The following is a 24,720-nucleotide window of genomic DNA, read 5'->3' as shown; positions in this document are numbered from 1 at the left end:
TCATTGCGAATATCCTACATCGAGCAGAATTTATTTTGAATATGCTTCAGTTTCTGAAGGGAAAGTATTTTCTTAATTTAAAAAAAAAAGAGAATAATTCATTGGAGTCATCAAACATTCTAATTTATTTACCATAAAATAGAGCTTTGAGGCCGGGAGTGGTGACTTATGCCTGTAACCCCAGTACTTTGGGAGGCTTAGGCAGGCAGATCACGAAGTCAGGAGATCAAGACCATCCTGGCTAATGGTGAAACCTCATCTCTACTAAAAAAAAAATACAAAAAATTAACCAGGTATGGTGGCATGCGCCTGTAGTCCCAGCTACATGGAAGGCTGAACCCAGGAGGCACAGGTTGCAGTGAGCCGAGATTGCACCACTGCACTCCAGCCTGGGCAACACAGTGAGACTACCTCTCTCAAAAAAAAAAAAAAAAAAAAAAAAAAAAACATATATATATATATATATATATATATATATATATATATATATAGCTTTGACTATTACTCAATTTTATTAGAACATTTTAATAAGATTATATTGAAAATACATATATTCTTCAGAAAGATACTAATGGCATGATATTAAGGATAGATTTAGATAAGAAATAGATTAAAATATGTGCCTATACAATTGCCTCAAAAAGAATAAAATATCTAGGAATACAGCTAACTAGGAAGGTGAAGGATCTCTACAAGGAGAACCGCAAAAAACTTCTCAAAGAAATCAGAGATGACACAAACAAATGCAGAAACATTCCATGCTCATGGATAGGAAGAAGCAGTATCATTAAAATGACCATACTGTCCAAAGCAACTTATAGATTTCCAGGTTCAAGCGGTTCTCCTGCCTCAGCCTCCGGAGTAGCTGGGACTACAGGCGCATGCCACCATGCCCGACTAGTTTTTTGTATTTTTAGTAGAGATGGGGTTTCACCGTGTTGGTCAGGCTGGTCTCAAACTCCCGGCCTCAGGTGATCCACCCTCCTCGGCCTCCCAAAGTGCTGGGATTACAGGCATGAGCCACTGTGCCCAGGCAATATTTTTATATTTTAAGAATTTTTTTCAGGCTGGGCGTGGTGGCTCATGCCCGTAATCCCAGCACTTTGGAAACTGGGGTGGACAGATCACTTGAGGTCAGGAGTTCGAGACTAGCCCGGCCAACATGGTGAAACCCCATCTCTACTAAAAATACAAAAATTAACTGGGCATGGTGGTGCGCACCTGTAATCCCAGCTACTTGGGAGGCTGAGGCATGAGAATCACTTGAACCCGGGAGGCAGAGTTTGCAGGAAGCCAAGACCGTGCCATTGCTCTCCAGCCTGGGAGAAAGAAGGAGTCTCTATCTCCAAAAAAAAAAAGATTTTTTTTTCAAAAAGTTTTTAATAGAGTCAACTTGATGGTCAATAAATATTCAAAAGATTAAGTTCCACTTATTTTTAGCACCTCCTTTTACTCTCAAAAGTGTCCCAGTTTGGTTGATGTTGGCTAACTATAGCCAACAGGATAAAGCCACATTCCTTGTGATGTGGCCCTCTGCACCTTTCCAGTCTCCATCCCGTGACTCTTCAAAGCCTCCCAGGCTCGGCTCTCAAAGCTCTACTCCCACACTTCCCTCTGGCTGCAATGCCCTGTGCCCTCATAACCCTGCTGCATTCTAACTCGGCCATTACATCCAACCTAAATATCTTCTTACAGCTTCTGCTGACTTTCTTCTCTTACCTTCCCATCTTACAGCATTAATTATACGCACATATATGTCCTCATAGAGCTTCACATGCAACCCTGATTGTTGTTACAGCGCCACTATTTTCTTTCCTGTCCTCCTTTCAAACTGGATGGGGAAAGCTGAGAGGCCATGGACTTTGACTTCTTTATCTTTGTACATCCAGAGCCTGACGCATTACTGGACACAAACTGGTTATGGCAAATGTTGGTCTAATTAAATGTGTTGTATCACAAAGAAGGCCTTTCAGAACCTCAGAACCTCCTAAAACACACTATGAAGGCATCCTTGTGCTCTATGATTGCGTATAAGGCCCTTCCAGGACCTGATCCTCTAGCTGCTGAGCCCCAGCAGGGCCTGTTTTTTTCTGGAGGACTCATAGGTTCATGATCATCTGCTGGCATGCTCTTGAGAAGGCTCTAGGGTGAATAGATAACCTCAGCTGTCCGGTGATTCATTTCGCTATGTAAAATCTGAAATAATGATAATGTATTTTGCATGTGTGTGTGTAAAATTAACACTCACTTATTCCCAAATAAACCAATAACAATTTCCAGTGCCTATACCAAAAGCTTGACCAACAAAACTATAACTACCAGAAAGGGTAGTGAATATAACCTAACCCTATTTTCTTTTTTTTCTTTTTTTTTCTTTTTTTTTATTATACTTTAAGTTCTAGGGTATGTGTGCACAACGTGCAGGTTTGTTACATAGGTATACATGTGCCATGTTCATTTACTGCACCCATCAACTCGTCATTTACATTACATATTTCTCCTAATGCTGTCCCTCCCCCAGCCCCCCACCCCCTGACAGGCCACGGTGTGTGATGTTCCCCACCATGTGTCCATGTGTTCTCACTGTTCAACTCCGACCTATGAGTGAGAACATGCTGTGTTTGGTTTCCTGTCCTTGTGATAGTTTGCTTAGAGTGATGGTTTCCAGCTTCATGCATGTCCCTGCAAAGGACATGAACTCATCCTTTTTTATGGCTGCATAGTATTCCATGGTGCATATGTGCCACATTTTCTTAATCCAGTCTATCATTGATGGACATTTGATAACCTAACCCTATTTTCTAAAGCTGGTCATAGACTCCCCTTCACTAGGCAAGGGGCCCTTAAGTAAGAAGATGTCCAGCAAAGTGAATCTAAGACATACAAAATGGTGAGTTTCCATATTGGGTTATGTCTCACTCTAACAAAGCCGTCTTTCATTATGGATATAATTTAAAAGTGCCTATATAGGTGTGTATATGTGTATATCATATACACTTTGAATAGATAGCATTATCGATTCACACATCCACAGTCGTCAATAATACTGCGAATTACCTAGGAGACAGCACAGTGGTAATAGAGAGGCCTTGGAGCTAGATAAGTCTGTGATAGAATTTTGACTTCATCTTTTCTTGAGCCTCAGTTTCCTCATCTGTGAAATGTGAATAAACATGCCTGCCATTTAGACCTGTTGAAAGGATTAAAGAAGACAGTACCTAGACAGATAAATAGTAAAGTTGTTACATTTATTACTACAGGATCTGTTATTATTTGACTAGCATGTAATCTACTAATATTGCACAACCTTGATTCTTATTCTCTAAGGTGAAGTAGAGCTGATCGCTAAGTCCCCATTGCTGCCAAATTCTGTTTTCAGTGACATTTTAAGAACAGCCTCCCTCCGCATGTCCACAGGGAACTGTCAGGCCCAGGGGCACCTCTGCTGCTTCCCAGTAGGAAGCTCCCTCGAGAAAGCAAGCAGGGAGCGGGTTTCTATGATCCCACCAAGATTTGGCTGAGCTCCACTTTCAGCCTAGTGACTCATGCACCTTGAGTTGCTAAGGGAATTGAAAGTGTTGCCAAGGAATTTTGCAGTTTGCAGCAGGTGGATGTAGAAATTACAGAACCACTTTCTTCAAATCAGTAGCAGTGGATGTTTGTGCCCACAAGGATGAGGGCACTTTGGCAAGCACCCTAACCAACTTCTCCTCATACTTCAAAACAGACCCCAAACCATGTTTTCACCTTCTAGTGGTATATGAATGCACAGATGCAGAAGTAAAACCTGGTCCTGAGCAGAGGGTCTAAATCTGCAGGCGTCAACAAATATGTTACAACATTTTTTTAATGTGAATGGTCAATTGACTTTTATGAAACTGAATATTAACTGATAAATGATTACACTGTTCATCAATTATTTCACTTTAGATATAATCTGAAATCTTTCAAAAGATGTTTGTCTCTCCTTATCAATACAATTGATTGTTTTATCTCAGTGCTGCATTTTCGGCAATTTTCTCATATCTAACTTTCGGTTTATAAATTTTTTTGCTTTAGCTGTCTTTAACCAGCTGATTAAACCATGCACTGCATTTCCATTTCAATGACGATATTTTGCAATTCTAGAAAATTTATTTAACTATTTTTGAATTTTTTTTTAGTATTCCGCTTAAGTTTATGTGTTGGTGTTTTGGCTATATCTATTTGTATAGTTTTTTTATGATTGCGCTAAGGATAATGAAATACATACCTAACCTCTTACAGTCTATTTAGATGGAATATTTTACCACTACAAGCAAAACATGGAAGTCCTGCAACCCTTTGCCTTCTCCCGTTTGTGTCACAGCTGTCAGATGCTTTGCATATACATACCGAGAAACCCTACCAAAGTTACAATTTTTTTTTTTATATACGAAGTCTAGCTCTTGTCCTCCAGGCTGGAGTGCCATGGCATGATCTCAGCCCTCTGCAACCTCCCCTTCCAGGGTTCAAACGATTCTCCTGCCTTGGCCTCCCCAGTAGCTGGGATTACAGGTATGTGCCACAACACCTGGCTAATTTTTGTATTTTTAGTAGAGATGGGGTTTCACCATGTTGGCCACAGTGGTCTTGAACTCCTGACCTTAGGTGATCCACGCGCCTCGGCTTCCCAAAGTGTGGGATTACAGGCGTGAGCCACCGCTTCCAGCCACACTATGCCTAGCCAAAAGTTACAACTTTTGCTTTCAATAGTCATACATATTTTAAGAACTTAAAATATTAAGTTCTTAATATTAATATATTAATATTACCAGACAGTTTTTATATTACCCAGTTACCATTCTCTTCCATTTCTGAAGTTTCAAGTTTCTCTAGTATCACTTCCCTTAAGCCTAACTACTTCCTTTAGCATTTCTTTTAGATGGGTCTGCTGGTAATAAATTTTCTTCATTTTATCATCTTGCTGAGCCAATAAGCAGTTTGTTTAATTTCTCCTTCACAAAGGGTGCAAGTAATTAATCGAGTAGAACAGAAAAAGGGTAAAGATTGGATATGGAAGAAAACAGGTGAGTGACCAACGCCATATCTAATGCAAAGCAGCTTCCAATGAAGCCCCTTTTTCTTTTAAGCAGGTCTCAGGAACTCAGCTTTTTTTAGTATCCTTCTGCATTTGTCACTACCAGCCTATCACATGGGGTTCTTTTCCCTAAAGCCAGCCATGGGTAAATGTCCTTTCCCATCAGCTGGAAAGAATAAGTACCCATTCTGTTTATTTCACAGAGTCAATGTGAATGATGCTGCTCAGAGTCTCAATGGTAGCCACCAGGTCCCCAAACCAATATAGAAAGAAGACAGACTTGAACTACAGGGAAATTGAATTGTTAGAAAGTTGTCTTTGCTACCCCATTGATGGAGACAATCCTGAAGTGCAGATAAGAAGAAAAAACATGTAAATTCAAGTTATAGTACACATTTCCCTCTAATTTTCCTGATGCATATGGCTGTCATTGACCCTTCATCACTAGCCTAACAATAATAGTTGGTTTGCAATTTATTTGGATCCTCTGAAGATTGGGAGTTATTGTTAGCAGACAATTTTCCATGGATCTCTCAATATTTCTGCACATCTTATAAGCAGAAGTACTGACGGCCTTTTGTTCTGAACTATCTTTTCAAGGATATTTGTATAGCAAACAGCATGGAAATAATAGACAGTGTGTTTCCCTCCAAAGCAAAGAGCAGGTTGCTTACAGCTTCGCCATGATTTTAAAGGCGATATTTCCCACTGAAGCAAAAGGCAGGTATGCTTACTGTCCAGTGTAATAAAGAAAATGTTTCTCTCTGAAAGCAAAGGTCAAGCATGCTAAATGTATATTACACAAGATTCAGATTCCCTAAGTTCGGGGACTCTTCTGTAACAAACCCATTGAGTGTGCAGTTATTATGTAGCTCCTGTGGGAACTGGAGCTTAGGGATTAGGACAAAAATGCTAATTCTCTGGCTACTGTCCTTTACCTCTGACCTGGGAGTCTCAAGTCTCCAACCAGCATCCTTGAAACTGTGGCTGGCTAACCTGTCAGCTTGCAAGTAGATAAAATCCTAGACCCTCAGAGGTCTTGGCAGTTACAAAATGACCTTCTGTACCTTCCCAACCCTCTCATAGTATTTATTTCTCCTCCAAGAGTGGGATGGCTGCTATGTATTTACATAGCATCTGGCCATGTGCCAATTCACCAGGTCCCCATAGGACTCTACCCCCAGAATTCTATTTCTTAACATTCTCACATAGATGCCAAAAGTAGGCACTAGTTTCTTTGTTTCTTCCCCCTAGTTGTACATCTTTATCTTTAGTATGCATATACTGTATCACATATTTCAACAGCTGCAAGAAGCAGCAAATACATACTAGATCAGTATAGTCTCTGGCCACTATATGCCAAGCCCACACAAATGCATTAGTAAACTTCACTTGAGATTAAGGATGTAAAAACCTTGTGCAAAACCATCTATAAATATAAAGTTTTATTATTATGAGCTCCTATAATACAAGAATTCTGGTTGACCACCTCTGAGCTGGCTACTAGAATTTCCTCATTCCTGAACAGGAGAACTTTAGCTAAGAGTAAATTAGTAAGCGCTCAGGTAAAACAATTGTAAGAGAGCAGAAAAGGCTGGGCGCGGTGGCTCACGCCTGTAATCCCAGCATTTTGGGAGGCTAAGGCAGGTGGATCATGAGGTCAGGAGTTTGAGACCAGCCTGACCAACATGGTGAAACCCCATCTCTACTAAAAATACAAAAATTATCCGGGTGTGGTGGTGCGCGCCTGTAATCCCAGCTACTCAGGAAGCTGAGACAGGAGAATCACTTGAACCCAGGAGGCAGAGGTTGCAGTGAGCCAAGATTGCGCCGTTGCTCTTCAGCCGGGGCAAGAGAGCAAGACTCCATCTCAACCAAAAAAAAAAAAAGAGAGAGACCAGGAAAACAAAAGTATCCTTTGTCAGAAGCTGAAAGTGAACCAGTACCATGTTGAATCTGTCAATACAAGACAGAAGGACAAAATATCATTGTCCTTCTAAATTTTGCTTGCATTTTACTGACAATCTGGTTACTAAATTGTTAGATACAGAATTAACTCTTACGTACTTGGTCTAGCAATGGACCAAATTAAATTAATAGATAAGAAGCAAGTTGCAAAAATTCCCGAGCTATCTTCTTCTTCTTTTGTACCATTTTACATGGCATCAAAATCTGTTCCAGTTACTAAGGACACATATGAATTTACCCCACAACTCAGTGGCATGAAACAGCAATGTGTCATGCTCACAGATTCTGTAGAGGAAATTGGACAGGACACTGTGGGGACAGCTTGTCTCTGATCCACAACGGTCTGGGGTCTCAGATGGAAGATTCAAAGACTGGGAGCTGAAATCATCTGAAAGCGTCTTCACTCGTGTCTACTGTACAATGGTGGCACTCAGCTGAAGACCTTAGTTCCTCTCTATATTGGCCTCTCCATGCAAGTTAATTTTGCTTCCTCAGAGCATAACAGCTGAGTTCCAAGGACAGGTGTCCTGAGAGAGGAATCAGATGGAGGCTGTATCCTCTCTATGGCCTTAGCCTTGGAAGTCACATAGCATCACTTCTGCTGCATCTGTTGATCAAAAATGGAAGTTTCTGTCTTGATCCAAACCCAGAAAATATAAATCTCAGCATTAAATAAGAAGGTGTCAGTTACAATTTAAGAAATGCATGTGGCACTCAGATATGTATATTTGTATGGCCATCTTTGGAAAATACAATCTACCACACTCTGTATTTGTGTGACTTCTCTCAATGAACCTACAAAACAGATGCTTTCATTCTCTTCATTTCACAGATAGAAAATTAAACCCAAACAAGTTTAACAACTTGGCCAAATTAACACTTGATTATAAGAACATCTATTAGTAAACTTACCCATGTTTGAACTTTGTTGATACGAAGAGGTTCCTCCTCCCATGGCCAGAGATGATTTTTAGTTTCCATGTTGAGCCACTGTTTCCTTTTTTTCTTTTTTGAGATAGGGTCTCACTTTGTCACCCAGGCTGGAGTGCAGTGGTGCCATCTTGGCTCACTGCAGACTTGACCTCCCAGGTTCAAGCAATCCTGCTTCAGCCTCCCAAGTAGCTGGGACTATAGGCACGCACAGCCACACCCGGCTAATTTTTGTACTTTCTGTGGCGACAGGGTTTCACCATGTTGCCCAGGCTGGTCTTGGACTCCAGAGCTCAAGAAATCCACCCGCCTCGGCCTCCCAAAGTGCTAGGATTACAGGCGTGAGCCATGGCCACCCGGCCTGAGCCACTGTTTTCTATCATGTCTCAAGTTTCACTGTCTAAGATCCGACACATGACTTGAAGACTTACCCCTTTAAATTTTCCTCTTATTTTAACAGCTTTTGGGATTCTACTGGAAGTTTGTACAGCGTAGTGGTACCAGGAATAAGCATTGGAGGCAGATAAACATGGCTTTAAATCCTGGCTCTACCACTTCTTGTTTAGATGCAGCAAACACATTACTTACCCTTGGTAAGCCTCCCTCCCAACAGGGATAATAATAAGCTTCTCGAACCTGGTACAGAAGGTGCATATTAATAGAATAAGTAAAATATCACTGACACCTGTCCCCACATTCTTATGCCACTCCCTAGGAACTTTCATCTAATTATAACTAGAAGTTCTCAGATGGTGTTTCATGAGTGCTTACAAATGAATCACCATTGATGCTAACAGTAGGCTTCCTCTTCTGATCCAGACGCCTTCATGGTGGATGGTCTCAGGAAGTCACTGAGGGCAGTACCTCATCACTACCTTGATTACAGATGCTCCCCTAAAACAAGGCTGTCTCCTAATGAGACTACATAGCAGCAATCTCTCAGGATGCTGCAGAGGCACGGTATTCGGTTTATCATTGGGAGTAATGCCCCCTCCACCCTTCCACTTGGGTCACAGAGACACATAGTTTTTTCTGCTTTTGCTAGCAATTTCTCTCTCTAGAGGACTTGCATATTGATCCTTAGAGCCAGGAGATAACACACCTTTCTGTGCTCTCAAAGTCTACACAACCAACCCTCTTCCTCCTCCAAACTTGCCTTCCTTTCTTCAGCTAAAAGCAAAAGCACAACACAACTTACACCAGTCCCTTCTTCTGAGATCTGTTCATCGCTTTACAGATTCTCCTACACCCGTTAATACGCACACTGTGCTTTATGTGCTCACTCTCAACTGCACTTCCTTCTTTCTCTCTGATTTTATGTCCCAATCAGCCTCTCTCATCTCTCTTTTTTTTTTCTTGCTTTTATAAATCATGGGGCCAGGCGTGGTGGCTCACACCTGTAATCCCAGCACTTTGGGAGGCTGAGGCAGGTGGATCACTTGAGGTCAGGAATTCAAGACCAGCCTGGCCAACATGGTGAAACCCCATCTCTACTAAAAATACAAAAATTAGCCAGGCACGGTGGCGAATGCCTGTAATCCCCTCTACTCAGGAGCCTGAGGCAGGAGAATCTCTTGAACCCAGGAGGCAGAGGCTGCAGTGAGCCAAGATCGCGCCACTGCACTCCAGCCTGTTTACAGAGCAAGGCTCCATCTTCAATAAATAAATAAATAAATAAATAAATAAATAAATAAATAAATAAAGGTACCTCCACGTAGGAATGAGCTTCACTCAACTACTTTCTATTAGAGTTGCTATAGTCCTGGTTTGCCCAGTCTTGGCACCCAAATTTTATTACTTAGATCCTCCCAATGATGACAAATATATGTAACATTATCAGGGAGGGTTCTTTAACTGCAGACTTCATTTAAAAAGAGGAAAAAAAGAATGTTTTGAGACTGACTCAAACCCCATTGTGGAACGAGAACTACATACAATTTATATGTCAAGAAGTTAAGCTGAATTGAATATATAGTTAATTGCAAAAGGTATTCAATATAGAACTGATAATAGCATACAATCCTACACAGCTAAGAGAATTTTTTTTAATTGGCCAGATGTGGCTGAGGGGAGTGTCTGCCCTGGTCCCCTGCAGCTGTCCTTCCTCTGTCTTTCATATCTGGCTCTTCCGTTGCCCTCTGCTGAGTCCCTCTGTGTCTGTGTCTCACACCATCTGGATTGAAGGGGTCACTCTCCTGTGTCAAGACTTTTCATGCCAATTATTTAATGCCATTTCTCCATCTGAAATTATTCAAAGTTCACTTTTAATTCAAATTCCCCATGGAATCCATTTGTCAGGAGGTTGCTTTCTCCAAATATGTTCTGCAAACTGTCATCTCTGGCTGCTTGCTGTCATAAATAGACGTTAGTCTCTATTTCCTGTGCTGTTCCCAAGAGAAGTGTCATATAGCTCCAGGCTTTTTGGTGGGAAGAGAGCTACTTCCAGTGTGGATACTACAAGAAAAGCTTCCCTTGTTGCCCAGCTCTCTGATACTTCCTGTGTTTCCATGGCAAACTTCCCTCTTGGATGCAGCTGCTTAGGAGGGGCGGGGAGAAGGGAACTGTTTAACCATTTTGTTCCCATCACATGCCTCTTATACGTTCAATTTTCCCCTGCACACTACATGTGACTCCCGTCCTTGTCCCCTTTTTAAGCACGTACCCACCCCCCATCCCCCGCCTCCAGACACACACAACAAACATTTCTTTCAGCTCACTCAAATATGTGGAGTTACTCGCTTAACCCGTGGAAAATGCTATCCTTTTGGCAGGAAAATGCTGGATTCATGATAGTGCCACTAGAAAAGCATTTTTTTAACTTCTCCATTTCCAGCACATCTTGGTTCTAGCAGAATGAGTAGGTCCTTGAACCCCAAAGCCAGGGCTGGTGGTCACCCTAGGAAGTCACCTGTAGCGGTAAAAACCAATGCGTGTAATGGGGATAGTATTTTTGGCATTTTGAATATTTTCATTTCCCCCTTAAATCATGCACCTTCACAACCTCAGCATCCAAGCTTAGCCAAAAAGCGCATTGCCTCAGGGAATAAGAGGCCATTGATTATCTTTGAGTCATAAATCTGACTTTTGTAAGTCCACATCAAAACAATTGTCACGAAAGCCAAGCTTTGGGTAGACAGAAAAGGCCATTCTAAGTTCCCTTAGCCTCTATTTAGCATAGTAAGAGCCAAGCCTGGCAGACCAGAGGGCATCACATGCCTTGGGTAGGGAGAACGAACTCTGGAGAGAACACAGAAAAAAATAAAAACTGCCTTTTCAGCCCTGCTGCATTGCAGGAAGCAAAGGAGGCAGCAAATGGGACCAAGCATCATGGCTCCTCCCTGTCCCTGTCCCCACAAGGGGCTGCAATTCTAGAATGGGGCTTACATTGGTTTAGAGGAAAGCCAAACAGAGAGTGTTTTGCCTCATTTCCCATTTGAGACTCATAGCAAACTACCATAGAATAGCTGCATCAGAGAAACACTTCGTTTATGCAGAAGGAGGGCCTGAATTTAGCCCCCAGAGGCTCTCTTGGTCCCCAAGTATCCTATCTGACCATTTCCACCTGCCCTGAGATAGGAAGTAGGCTGTATCTGAAGGTACCAGGTAGAGCGCTTACTCTGGGCTTGCTGTTGGGAATCAGAAGGGAGCCTGCTAGACCAGAGGATGAGGTGGGAGTAACAGCCTGTCCTCAAGAATGAAAGTGGCATCAAATCAGCAGCGAGAACAACCAAGTCCAACCAAACCAAGAGATTATAGAGCAGGAGTCTGACAGCTCCCAATTTCAGCTGCCCAGCAGCAGGGAAAGTAGAGCGGGAATGAAAGAGACAGCAGAGCAGAGGACTGAGGAGCCAGGGAAGGACAGACATGGGCCTGGGAACCCTCTTTCCCACTGCCACCAGGTCAGCCAGTCTTCCTCCTGCTATCTACTGAAAAATCATCTCAGAAAAAGAAGATGAGAAGAAAATCTGGAATTCTTTTATTTCAAAATCACTTTGTTGTGGTATAATTGACATACAAAAAGCTGTACATATTAATTGCAAAAAGCTCAGTGAGTTTGAGGTTAAATATATACTGTGAAACCATCACTACCATCAAGGCCATAAACATATCTGTTGCAATGGTTTGAATGTCCCCTTCAAAACTCATGTTGAATCTCAATCCCCAATATGGCAGTATTGAGAGGTGGGGCCTTTAAGAGGTGATTGGGTCATGGAATAATCCACTTTTAGATTAATGGATTAATTCATTAATGGGTTATCATGGGAGTGGCTTTATAAGAAGAGGAAGAGTGACTGAAGCTAATACGTGAGCATGCTCAGCCCCTGGCCATATGATGCCCTGCGCCACCTTAGGACCGCAGAGTCCCCATCAGCAAGAAGGCCCTCACTAGATGCAGCCTCTCTACCTTGAACTTTTCAGCCTCCATAACTGTAAGAAATAAATTCCTTTTCTTTATAAATTACCCAGTTCCAAGTATTCTGTTATATGCAACAGAAAACAGACTAATACACCTATCACCTCCCCCACAAAGTTTCTTCCTGCCACTTTTATTATTTTGTGTGTGTATGATAAGACTTAATGTAAGATCTATCTTCTTAGCAAATATTAAGTATATGATACAATACTGTCAACCATAGGCATTATGCTGTATACTAGATCTCCAGAAGTTATTTATTTTGCGCAGCTGAAGCTTTGCCCTTTAACTATCATTTCCGCACGTCTCTATCCCCCATTCCACTCTCTGCTCCAACTTTGATGATTTTAGATCCCACAGATAAGTAAATCATATTGATTACCCAAAAGATACTGTCACCCACATTTGCAAGTTGTTTTTTCACCCTGTGGTGAGCAGCTTCTACGGCTCCCAATGATCTCCACTTCCTGCTACTCCTGCCCTTGTGTGATCTACTCCCCTTGCGTGTGGTTTGGACTTAGTGATTTGCTTCTAACAAATGGAATTTGAAAGATTCTGGCTTCCAATTTGCTCACCTCTCTTTCTCTCTTACTTGCTCACTCTGATGAAACAAGTACCATATTGGCAAGCAACTGAGGGAGGATTCTGGCCAACAGCCAGAGAAGAACAGTCCAGCAACCCACGTAGAACAGAGTCCTGCCACATGACAAGGTATGAGCTTAGAAGAGGACTGTCCCTCTGTCTAGGGTTCAGATAAAACCCAGATAAGATAACCAGTTCAGCACAGTTTGCCCAGGATGTCTCCAGTTTTAGCACCAGAAGCCCCACATCCCAAGAAACCACTCAGTCTTGAGCAACCCCAGACAGTTGGTCACCACAGACTGACCTGTAGATGGCCCCTTGAATGTGCCCTTGGGAGAGACCCTGAGCCAGAGAACCTAGTAAGGCCACACTCAGATTTCCGACCTACAGAAATTGTGGGATAATAAATGTTTATTCTTTTAAGCTGCTAAACTCTGGGGTAATGTATCATGCAGCATTGCAGATATTGAAAACTAACATCCTTGTTCTTACCCAAAAGATTGAAAGATCAAGAGAAATGTTAAATCAGCTATAGAACAATAAAGAAGCTGCATTTTCTTTGTACATCTGCATGCAGCGTGAGTTAAATTAGCAGCCTCATCACGAGTGTACTCCACATCCTGAGTGTGACTCAGGAACACAGTTTTTAGCAAGAATGAAGAATTAGGTACGTCCCTTATCTTCAAGGAGTTTAAAATCAAATCACAAAATCCAGACATAGTCACCTGACAGAGATTAAAGACTCAACAGGGGCTCAGAAGTTGCTACCACAAACTTCATCTTTCTTCTGGAGAATCCATACACAGATCAAATGAATCTTCCTAGTCATGCAGTGAAACCTGGAGGTAGACCCAGAACTAAGATTTCTCGCTATCTCAGGAAGCAAGTATATCATCAAGCCAATACAGAATACGGGAGTGAGAACTCATCAACTTTTCTCCTGTCACAGGAAAGTTGGCTTCACCTAACCAATCTACTACATAGCAGTCAGCTCTAAACTATGCAGATGGATACTTAACAAATGCATATGAGAACAACAAGAGAATAAGTTAAGATCCTGAGTGTTTCAGTGATAAGTCTCCAGCTATCATAGGCAGTGGCTGAATGATTAGTTACAGGCATGAAAAAAATATGCCATAAAGGTCAATACAAATGCTCCAGTGCCAATTGAGATAAAAGTAACCATAGCCACAAATATTTATACAGTATTGTACAGCTCAGAAAGACTTGCCTACTTTTTACGTCAAAAGTTTTTACACTTCAACTCTGAAAAGTAGTTAGGCCTGAAAGAATTCTTTTCATTGCCATTTGATAAAGAAGAAAAATTGAATCTTTAAAGATTGAAATGATTTTTCCAAGACCTCAGAACTGCAATTCACACCCAGACATCTCCTAGTGCAAAGTGCTGCTCACTTTCCTCCTTCTCAGTGGAGAGAAAATGGAAACATTCATGAATTATCAGTTTCCTGCTTTCACTAGGAAATGATGTAGGAAGCACCGTGGAAGGCAGACAGAGTCTATAATGCATGTTTATGGAAACAGCAGAACTATTATACATTATTGTGGGAATTGTTTTTCTCAAGTCCTAGAGTCCCTGAAACACTGCTTTAGTAATAATGACTGTTTAGCTCCAGACTTATAATAACTTTTTTAGTAAAGTATCAAAAGAATAGAAAATCTAGAATTACTGAGAATAATTTGTGTTAGACATTTGAAAAACATATGTCAAAAGCACATCTTTTAATGAGCGCCCTGAAGAACTGTAACATTCAAACTCAACATATAATGATTGAGTCTGCCTCAGAGAAGTTGTACAATAGTTTTCTAAACCGTGCTGTTAAAATTGGTAGCCAATAGCCATACATGGCTACTTAAATTCATTAAAATGAAATACATTAAAAATTCGGTTTTCAGGCCTGGCACAGTGGCTCACGCCTGTAATCCCAGCACTTTGGGAGGCCAAGGCTGGTGGATCATCTGAGGTCAGGAGTTGGAGACCAGCCTGACCAACATGGTGAAACCCCGTCTCTACTAAATACATAAAAGTAGCCAGGCGTAGTAGCGTATGCCTGTAATCCCACCTACTTGGGGGGCTGAGGCAGGAGAATCACTTGAACCTGGGAGGCAGAGGTTGCAGTGAGCCGAGATTACACCATTTGCACTCCAGCCTGGGCAACAAGGGCAAAACTCCGTCTCAAAAAAAAATCAGTTTTTATTTGCACTAGCCACATTTTCAGTACAAGCACACTTTGTTTTATTGTGTTTCACTTTATTGTGCTTCACAGATGCTGCATTTTTTTACATATTGAAGATTTGTGGCAACCCTGCCTCAAGCAAGTCTATCACCAACATTTTTCCAACAGCATGTGCTCACTTTGTGTCTCGGTGTCACATTTTGGTAATTCTAGCAATATTTCAAATATTTTCAGTATTATTATAACTCTGTGATCAGTGATCTTTGATATTGCTTTTGTTAATTATTTTCAGACACCATGAACTGTGCCCATATAAGATGGTGAATTTAATCAACGCATATTGTGTGTGTTCTGGCTGCTCCACCAGCCAGCCATTCCCTGTCTCTTTCTTTTTCCTGGGCCTCCCTATTCCCTCAGACACAAAAATATTGAAATTAGGTCAATTAATAACCCTACATTGGCCTCTAAGTGTTTAGGTGAAAAGAAGAGTCTCAAGTCTCTCACTTTAAATAAAACACTAGAAATGATTAAGCTCAGTGAGGAAGGCATGTCTAAAGCCAAGCTAGGCAGAAAGCTAGGCCTCTTGTGCCATGTAGCCAAGTTGTAAATGCAAAGGAAAAGTTCTTCAAGGAAATTAAAAATACTGCTCCAGTGAACATGAGTGATAATAAAGTGAAACAGCTTTATTGTGATACAGAGAAAGTTTTAGAGATCTGGATAGAAGATCAAACCAACCAGAATAGTTCCTTAAACCAAAGCCTAATCCAAAGAAAGGCCCTAACTTTCTTCAATTCTATGAAGACTGAGAGAGGTAAGAAAGCTACAGAAAAAAAGTTTGAAGCTAGGAGAGACTGATTCATGAAGTTTAAGGAAAGAAACCATCTTCATAATGCAAAAGTGCAAGGTGAAGCAGCAAGTGCTAATAGAGAAGCTGCAGCAAGTTATCCAGAAGACCTAGCTAAGATCATTGATGAAGCTGGCTACACTCAACAACAGATTTTTGGTGTAGATGAAATAGCCTTATATTGGAAGAAGATGCTATCTAGGACTTGCATAGCTAGAGAGGAGAAGCCAATGCCTAGCTTCAAAGGACAGGCTGACTCTCTTGTTAGGGGCTAATGTAGCCAGTGATTTCAAGTGAAAGCCAATGCTCATTTACAATTCCAAAAACTCTTAGGACCCTTAAGAATGATGCTAAATCTACTCTGCCTGTGGTCTATAAATGGAACAACAAAACCTGGATGACAGGGCATCTGTTAACAGCATGGTTTAATGAATATTTTAAGCCCACTGTTGAGAACTACTGCTCGGGAGAAAAAAAAAAAAAAGATTCCTTTCAAAATATTATTGCTTTCACAATGCACCTGGTCACCAGAGAGCTCTGATGGAGATGTACAAGATTTAGGTTGTTTTCATGCTTGCTTACACAACATACATTCTGCAGCCTATGGATCAAGGAATAATTTTGACTTTCGAGTCTTATTATTAAAGAAATACATTTCATAAAGCTATAGCTGCCATTGAGAGTGATTCCTCTAATAGATCTGGACAAAGCAAATTAAAAACCTTCAAGAAAGGATTCTTCATTCTAAATGCCATTAAGAACATTCATGGGAGGAGGTCAAAATATCAACATGAACAGGAGTTTGGAAGAAGTTGATTTCAACACGCATGAATCACTTTGAGGGGTTCAGGACTTCAGTGGAGTAAGTAACTGCAGATGTAGTAAACACAGCAAGACAACTAGAATTAGAAGTGGAGCCTGAAGATGTGAGTGAATTGCTGCAATCTCGTGATCAAACTTGAACAGATGAGAAGTTGCTTCTTATGGATGACAGAATAAACTGGTTTCTTGAGATGGAATCTAGTGAAGATGCTGTGAACATTGTTGAAATGACACCAAAGGATTTAGAATATTGCACAAACTTGATAAAGCAACAGCAGGGTTTGAGATGATTAAAAGAAATTCTATAGTGGATAAAATGTTATCAAACAGCATTGCATGCTACAGAGAAAACTTTCAGGAAAAAAAAGAGTCAATCCATGTGATGAACTTTATTTTTGTCTTATTTTAAGAAACTACCAAAGCCATCCCAACCTTCAGCAACCACCAGACTGGTCAGTGGCCATCAACATAGAGGTAAGACCTTCCATCAGCAAAAAATAAATAAAAAATAAAAAAATAAGACTCGCTGAAGGCCCAGATGATTGTTAGCAATTTTTAGCAATAAAGTATTTTTATGCAGGTATGTACTTTTGTTAAGACAATATGCTATTTCACACAATAGTCTACAGTATAATATAAACATAAATTTTGTATGCACTGGGAAACCAAAACAATTCACGTTGACTCATTTTATTGTGGTGGTTTGGAACCGAACCTTCAGTATCTCTGAAGTATGCTTGCACTCATTAGCCACATAAGGCTAGTGGCAAGATATAAAACAATTACATTGTCACAGAAAGTTCACTGAATGATACTATACTACTAGATTACTGAGAAGAAATAACCAACTGCTTCCAAAATGGCTCTGCTGGAGAAAACACCCTACATTGCAAATACTCCACAAATACAGGCACATAACTCTAGCCGAGCTCTCTAACAATGCCTTATGAAAGGAAACACATAACATAATTTGCAGAATCATTCCCAATAGGTGGAAGCTACTTGGAGGCTTTTCTCATCTCTTTGAGATATTGTAACACATATTCAAATGTCATGCTTTCCACTTTTCTCATTTCACCCATCCTCCACAAGGACCATCACACACTAGAGTTAACACCAAAAAGTGGATAGCCTGTACTGAGAGGTGTATATCATGTTCATGCACATTCTAGAGAATTCCCCAATCACCACAGAAGCCAAAGAATGGGCTGTCCTTTAGTCCCCGAGAAAGGTCTGCTGGATATGCAGAGCTCAACTGCTAACCAAGTCATTGGCTGGGTTTGCCTGAGAACAGAAAGAATAGCAGGAGGTGGAGGAGCAAGTGGTAACATGACCTAAGGAACTGGTGATCTGAATTGCTATGTGTCATAGCAATGGGCTCTTCAGACCCACCCTTCAAATGGGCTCTCCAGATCCACCCTAATTCACAGTCCTGGTCTTCAGCAGATTTGTTTGGCCCTAGTTAAATGTTGACAGAGCAACTTGACATACAGCTCAAAGAGTTTTCCAGCCACTCCTACTGCCCCACAGAGCCTCATTCTGATTGTCATTGTCCCAGGATTCAATAAGAATCAAAAAGGAAAAAGGAAGGAAACTTAGAAATCATCTATCCCATACCCTGAATCTTATGGATAAGGAAAGTTGAGGCACAGAAAGGGGAAATGAGAGACACAGATTACCCAGGCAAGAGTGTCAGTTTCCATGTCTGTGAACTGGAGATAAGATTCGTCTCTAAATACAGATGTCATGGTGGCTCTCTCACCAGCACACCCGCGGTCACCAGCCTTGTGCTCCTGTGCTCTCCTGGCAACCAGTTTCCCACTCTACCCTGCAGTGAGTAGGATCAGCCACCAGAGAGCCTGTGAGTGAGAACAGCATTTAACCATTTTCCTATGGGCAGGCTTATTCTTTCTATAGTGCCTATGTCTTAATCAATAAACAACCCCAGCTAGTTGACTCCTGGTCATTCTTTATAGGAAACAGAAGCCTATACCAAGTATAAATCTCTACAAGATCAATTCGATTTGAAGAATAAGGATCAAGACCTGCTGTTCCCAAATTATAACTCTGATAAAATCACTGTTATCATAAGCCTTGATTTGTCCCATTCATTCTGCCATTATTCTTTCATTCTTCAGGGTCTTAAAACATTTTCCAAGTTTCAGTCATACATACTTCAGATGTAAATAGTTTCATGAGCTACAATGTCTTAATAAGGATTATGATACAGCTATTCAGATTAAGAAAAGGACACCAGATAAACCCCACAGATTTAGCTGGGAAGATTCTGTAGGGGTGGAAAGAGCCCTACCAGGGCAATTTTAGGTCCGAGGACAAAACTTAACCTACACTGAAGTTGTGTATAAGAAGGCCTTAGATCCAATGGTGAAAAGATATAGTTTTTTCAATAAGTCTCTGGCTCTTTAAATCACAGTCTTCAAAAATCAGCCACTGAATTAGGTTATGGATCTGTGGGTACAGCACAGTGAAACATTAAATCAGAGAACAGAAAACTTTCTGGAACAAATAAGCCAAATGAATGCCTAGAAGTGGAAATGTTAACTAGCGACATAAGTTCAGAGTACAGCTGTGTCCAAATGAGTCGGCTCTGGCCCAGCAAGCAAAGTCTGTGAAAGATACAGAAGAATTATACTGTTTTTCCTAAAGTCAAACAGTGGACTTTTGCCATGTTAATTCCGATTTTCTGGGGTGGGAGATGAGAAATTAAGAAAGCAAAATGGAATGGTTTTAAAATAAATACGTCCTAGATTATTGTGTTGAGATAGGGCTGTATTTTTTTTTCTTTTGGCAGAGAAATGAGTTGACTATAACGTCTTTCAAGAGAAATGTCTCAGATTTATTTCAATGACCTTATAGTCTGGGTATGATGGCACCAAAAACGCACTGAGTTTATTAGTTAGTATCTAATGAATCACATTTTATTTGTGTGTTTCAGGTCAATTCACAAGCTCTTGTGCTTCATTTGAGCCAGAAGACACCACTGAACAGATCATGGTTTCAGTACCTACACTGGCTGTTTTTCATTCAAGGTGCAAGAGTGGTTCCAAAAGCTATGCAAGGGATTACTTTTTGCCAAACTAATTATCACAATTATTGAGAAATATGACAAAGACCTAAAAGTATCAAACATTGCCTACATTTGATAGGCTTTGAATAAAAGATAAGTTAATTTCAACAGGCTGTGATTAAAACTGTCCATAATAATAATAATGATAAAACAATTGTCATATGTTGAGATTAATAAATGTTACACAAAATGTTTCAAATGTATTTTATCTTCTACAGTCTATAAGATGGACACTATAATTTTCCCCATTTTATATTTGAGGTTTAGGCCATTGTTAAAGCTTTCCCAGAGTTATATATCTGATATGGCAGAGCCAGGGCCTTCAGGAGAGACGCTGGAATACCTTTGTTGAAAATTAAGCTAGACTCTAGTAGTTCTCAGTTGAATTAATTGGGAACAATTTACCAAGTAATGAATAATTGGTACAAAACTGTAAGTAATAAAATGCTGAATAGTGAAAAAGAGATTCTGAAGTCCTAGAGAGATCAGCAAAAAAGCAAATCCAAAGCAGAAGGCTCGCAGTAGAAGGTGCAATGTGAGCTGTGCTTTGAAACGGCTCTGATGGTACAAAAAGAGGAACAAAGACAGAGACAGCAGGATGGAAGGGATTGGAAGGTTAAGGGGTCACAGAAGAGGCCAGCAGGAGAAGACAATACAGGAGGGAAATAGTTGTCTACTTTCTGGGTTATTCCTCCAATTTTTTTTTTTTTTTTTTTTTTTGAGTCTCACTCTGTCGCCCAGGCTGGAGTGCAGTGGCACAATCTCAGCTCACTGCAACCTCCGCCTCCCGGGTTCAAAAGAGTCCCCTGCCTCAGTCTCCCGAGTAGCTGGGACTACAGGCACGCACCACCACGCCTGGCTAATTTTTTCTATTTTTAGTAGAGATGGGATTTCACCATGTTGGCCAGGATGGTCTTGATCCCCTGACCTCGTGATCTGCCCACCTTGGCCTCCCAAAGTGCTGGGATTACATATTCCTCCAATTTTTAAGCTCACAAGGAACTCAAGGGGCATTCAGATCAACTCATATATCACGCAATGGCACACCTGATAGGCACTGAGCAGGAAGCTTCCCATGAACTACCACACAGAAAGCCAGTGCTCTGTAATCCTAATTCAATATAACACTGACTGAGCACCTACAATGTACAGATAGAGGGCCAAATATTGAGCACAGAAGGATGAAGAAGATGCAATTCTGGTCTGTAGGAAGCTCATATAAAAGTATGTAAGTCCACACTATTTTATTGATTTTAGTAGAAACGGGTTTTCACCATGTTGGCCAGGATGGTCTCGATCTTTTGCCCTCGTGATCTGCCCGCCTCAGCCTCCCAAAGTGCTGGAATTACAGGAGTGAGCCACTGCACCCGGCCGAAGTATTCCATTTCTTGAGGCAGAAAAGACTTCTCTGTGGTGACATTAGATATGAGCCTTCTAAGAGGTGTGTATTATGATGGCAGGAGAAAGAGGAGAATGGAGTCCTAAGCGGGAGCAACTGTGTATTAACACAAACATGGAAGGATTCTACATACGCTGTTAGTAAGGAAAAATCACCAGGCAGAGCTGGAGCTGAGATTATAATCAAGGGTCTTCAGTGGAGCAGCAGAGCCAGGTGGAGTAGTGTTAGAAGACTACTACTAACATGAGTAGTGTTAGTACTACTAACATGAGTAGTGAGGAATAACATGATAAGGAATTTGAAGACAAGTGGGGAACCATGGAAAAACTTGAACATAGCAATGAGATTATTTGATCTCTGATTTAAGATGAAAATCTGGCAGTAAAGGGAAGAATGGGTGGCGAGTTAAAGGAGCCAAAATGCCCCTTAGCTATTCAAAGAGGATGATAATGTAATAATGCCAGCCTGAATTCAGGTAATGGTAACGCACAAGAAGAAAAGAAGAATTCACCAGCCACAATGGCCAAAGATCAGCCAGGGTTAGTAAATTAAAGATAATTACAATTTCTGACTTTAGTGGCTGGCAGATAGTAGTATCACAAAATAGGACAGGGACAAGACCAAAAGCAATCAGGAATAAGTGCTACTTAAATCAGAAAAATACTCAAAATGCTGAACACATGCTGGTGTAGTCTCAAACAAAACTGGGTGATGGCATTTTCTATAATGACTGTGTAGTCTGCCATGGCGGGTGGCCCAAGGAAGTGATAACAGGGGCAGAGGATCTCTAGGTCACGTGTTCAAAGTCATAATTCTCAGGTGTCTAAAACTTGTTCATATATCTGACAGCTGTTCAATGACTGATGTGAAAAGAATCAGAGGTTTTAGTTTAGGGTCTAGCAAAACAGATGTTCCCCTTTATAACTGACACCTTTGTTATGATAGAGGAGAGTTTTTTGAAAGAAATTAAATCAGTTCTAGTCCTTAGATTGCCTGCTGAGATGTTTTTGGACTAGTCAGAGTCTGTTTTTTCTTTTTGTTGTTGTCGTTGTTGTTGTTGTTTTTGTGTTTCCCAAGAGCATCCCACTATGGCATAACGATTTGTTTGAAATGTTTAAATTTTTTAAAAATCAAAGGTAGGAGTTGTCTAAGAGTGATAAGGCAGTCATTTAATATAGCTCTTTCCGCTGCTTCTATCTTTCTTTATTCTTTTGCAGTCGCTTGCAAAAGGTTATCTGCCACATTACAGGTCTGTGTTCATTTCTTTATCAGCATATGATCTATAAGAAAACATTCAGCCTGGAGCGGTGGCTCTTTTTCCCTTTGAAAATAGTGCAGTGGCACCACGGGGTTGTTTTTTGTTTTTTGTTTTTTCGTTTGTCTTGTTTTGTTTTGTTTTGAGATGGAGTCTCTGTCACCCATGCTGGAGTGCAGTGGTGCCATCTCGGCTCACTGCAACCAACCTCCATCTCCTGGGCTCAACCAATTCTCCTGTCTCAGCCTCCCAGCACCTGCCACCAGGCCCAGCTAATTTTTGTGTTTTTAGTAGAGTCAGGGCTTCACCATGTTGGCCAAGCTGGTATCGAACTCCTGACCTCAGGTGATCCACCCACCTCGGCCTCCCAAAGTGCTGGGATTACAGGCGTGAGTCACTGTGCCTGGCCGGTTTTTGAATTATCTAATACTTTAAAATATGTTTCCTCCCTTTTAAACCCAAAGTTCTAAGTGGGAGGATATGTGTCCTGGGCATTAAGTGGGAGATGCAGATAGTTCCTGAAGACCTCCACAGCAGTAGACTTCTTGGGCTACAGGGGAGCCCACTTTCTCCAGGGACCATATTTGTTTAACTTGTCCCTGCATGTGGACTGCCCTGTGGCAAACCACTGTAAAAGAATGAAGTCTCCTAAGAATTGTGCTTGAGTTTGTACATTCCTTGGTGTCGGCTAAAGCCACAGGAACTTTGGCAGTATTTTGAAGTTACACCCGTTCCCTATTGCAATGCAGGTCTGTGAAATAATGCCTTAGCTCTGCCAAAAACCACAGTGATTATCAACAGTGTAAATAATCAAGTAAAAGCACTTTTCCACAGCCCAGTGACTAGATTGTCAAGAATGCAAAAAGTAGTAGCAAAAATTGATTGCCATTTGCAAAGATAATTTCTATCTGAATTATATTACTGTATTGCAACAGCGATGCATAATGTGTGTCCAGCATCTTTGTAATAAACATTTTAGGTTTAATTTAGAAATCTCTGAGTCATTAGAAAAGTTCTTTCTCATTATGATGAAGGGGCCATGGTGAACTCAGCACTATTACAGTCTAAAGAGGGAAAAGAAACAGACAAGCAAGCTACACGTGTGAGAAGCAGAATTGCTCCTAGCTGAAACAATAGGAAAAAGTTCAAAATATAGATAGCTGCCTATTATTGAATAATTAATATAAGTATGGCTGTTTTACATTATCAAGCAGCCTGAGTATTTTCAATATTCCAATACAATGTGATATGGTCATTGATTTGTTGTTGTTTTAAACTCTTCATTTCTGCGAGGAAAAGAAGACTTCACATCTAGCAAACAAGGTCAAATAGATCAACTAAACTAGACCTTTCCGCCCCTCACAGATACCCCTTGTGCTGCTGCTTCAATTATTCCTGACATTGGTATTCAATAACTCAGGCTGGCAAGATGGTTTTAGAGCTCCACCCCAACCCTACACTGCTGGAAAATCTTATTTAAATTGAATTTTTCACTCTTCATCTCTTCGTTTCAGAACCAGGAAGATGTCTGCTGAAAAGCATCAGGCTGGCTGGCATGGTGGCTCAAGCTTGTAATCTCAGCACTTTAGGAGGCCGAGGTGGGCAGATCGCTGGAGGTCAGGAGTTCGAGACCAGCCTGGCCAACATAATGAAACCCCATCTCTACTAAAAATACATAAATTAGCCAGGCATGGTGGCCCATGCCTGTAATCCCAGCTACTCAGGAGGCTGAGGCAGGAGAATCGCTTGAACCCGGGAGGTGGAGGTTGCAGTGAGCCAAAATTGCGCCACTGCACTCCAGCCTGGGTGGCAGAGCGAGACTCTGTCACAAAAACAAAAACAAAAACAAACAAAAAAAAAGAAAAGCATCAGGCCTTACTGGAAATTAATGCAACGGAAACATAATTCTCTTGAGCCTTGGGCCTTCTCTCGAGATTAGTAGGTGTGACTCAGTGGTTCAAAACCAGGCTGTTTATATGAGTGGCCTAAGGGGCTTTTTAAAAATACTGATCGCTAAGCACAGCCTTCTCCAGGGACCATTTAATTAAAAATCTGACGAGGGTGGGGGCCAGGCATCAGTCTGTCTATAAGCCCACCTCCCCGCCCCACTACCCAGTGAGTCTAATGTCCAACCCAATCAGTTTCATGTTCTAGCATGCCTGTG

The 24,720-nt window shown here is 41.1% G+C and overlaps 1 long non-coding RNA gene across 1 annotated transcript in view, besides 1 other annotated feature; it reads right to left on the bottom strand.

Annotated features, from left to right (window-relative positions):
• LINC00578 (long intergenic non-protein coding RNA 578) overlaps positions 1-24,720 on the bottom strand; it is a 310,784-nt gene that overhangs the window by 250,749 nt on the left and 35,315 nt on the right. The gene's annotated exons all lie outside the window — the stretch shown is intronic.
• Positions 13,767-14,268: an enhancer, noted in NCBI's record as "NANOG hESC enhancer chr3:177205476-177205977 (GRCh37/hg19 assembly coordinates)". NCBI's record gives its function as "activates a minimal SCP1, AML or CMV promoter by ChIP-STARR-seq in naive H9 embryonic stem cells {active_cell/tissue: H9 hESC(naive)}" and the evidence as "EXISTENCE:reporter gene assay evidence [ECO:0000049][PMID:30033119]".

This window comes from Homo sapiens, chromosome 3 (genome assembly GCF_000001405.40).
Source record: "Homo sapiens chromosome 3, GRCh38.p14 Primary Assembly".
In the NCBI taxonomy this organism is placed as follows: domain Eukaryota; kingdom Metazoa; phylum Chordata; class Mammalia; order Primates; family Hominidae; genus Homo; species Homo sapiens.
The sequence above is the reverse complement of the archived record's forward strand: the minus strand, read 5'-3'. Positions and strand labels throughout refer to the sequence as shown.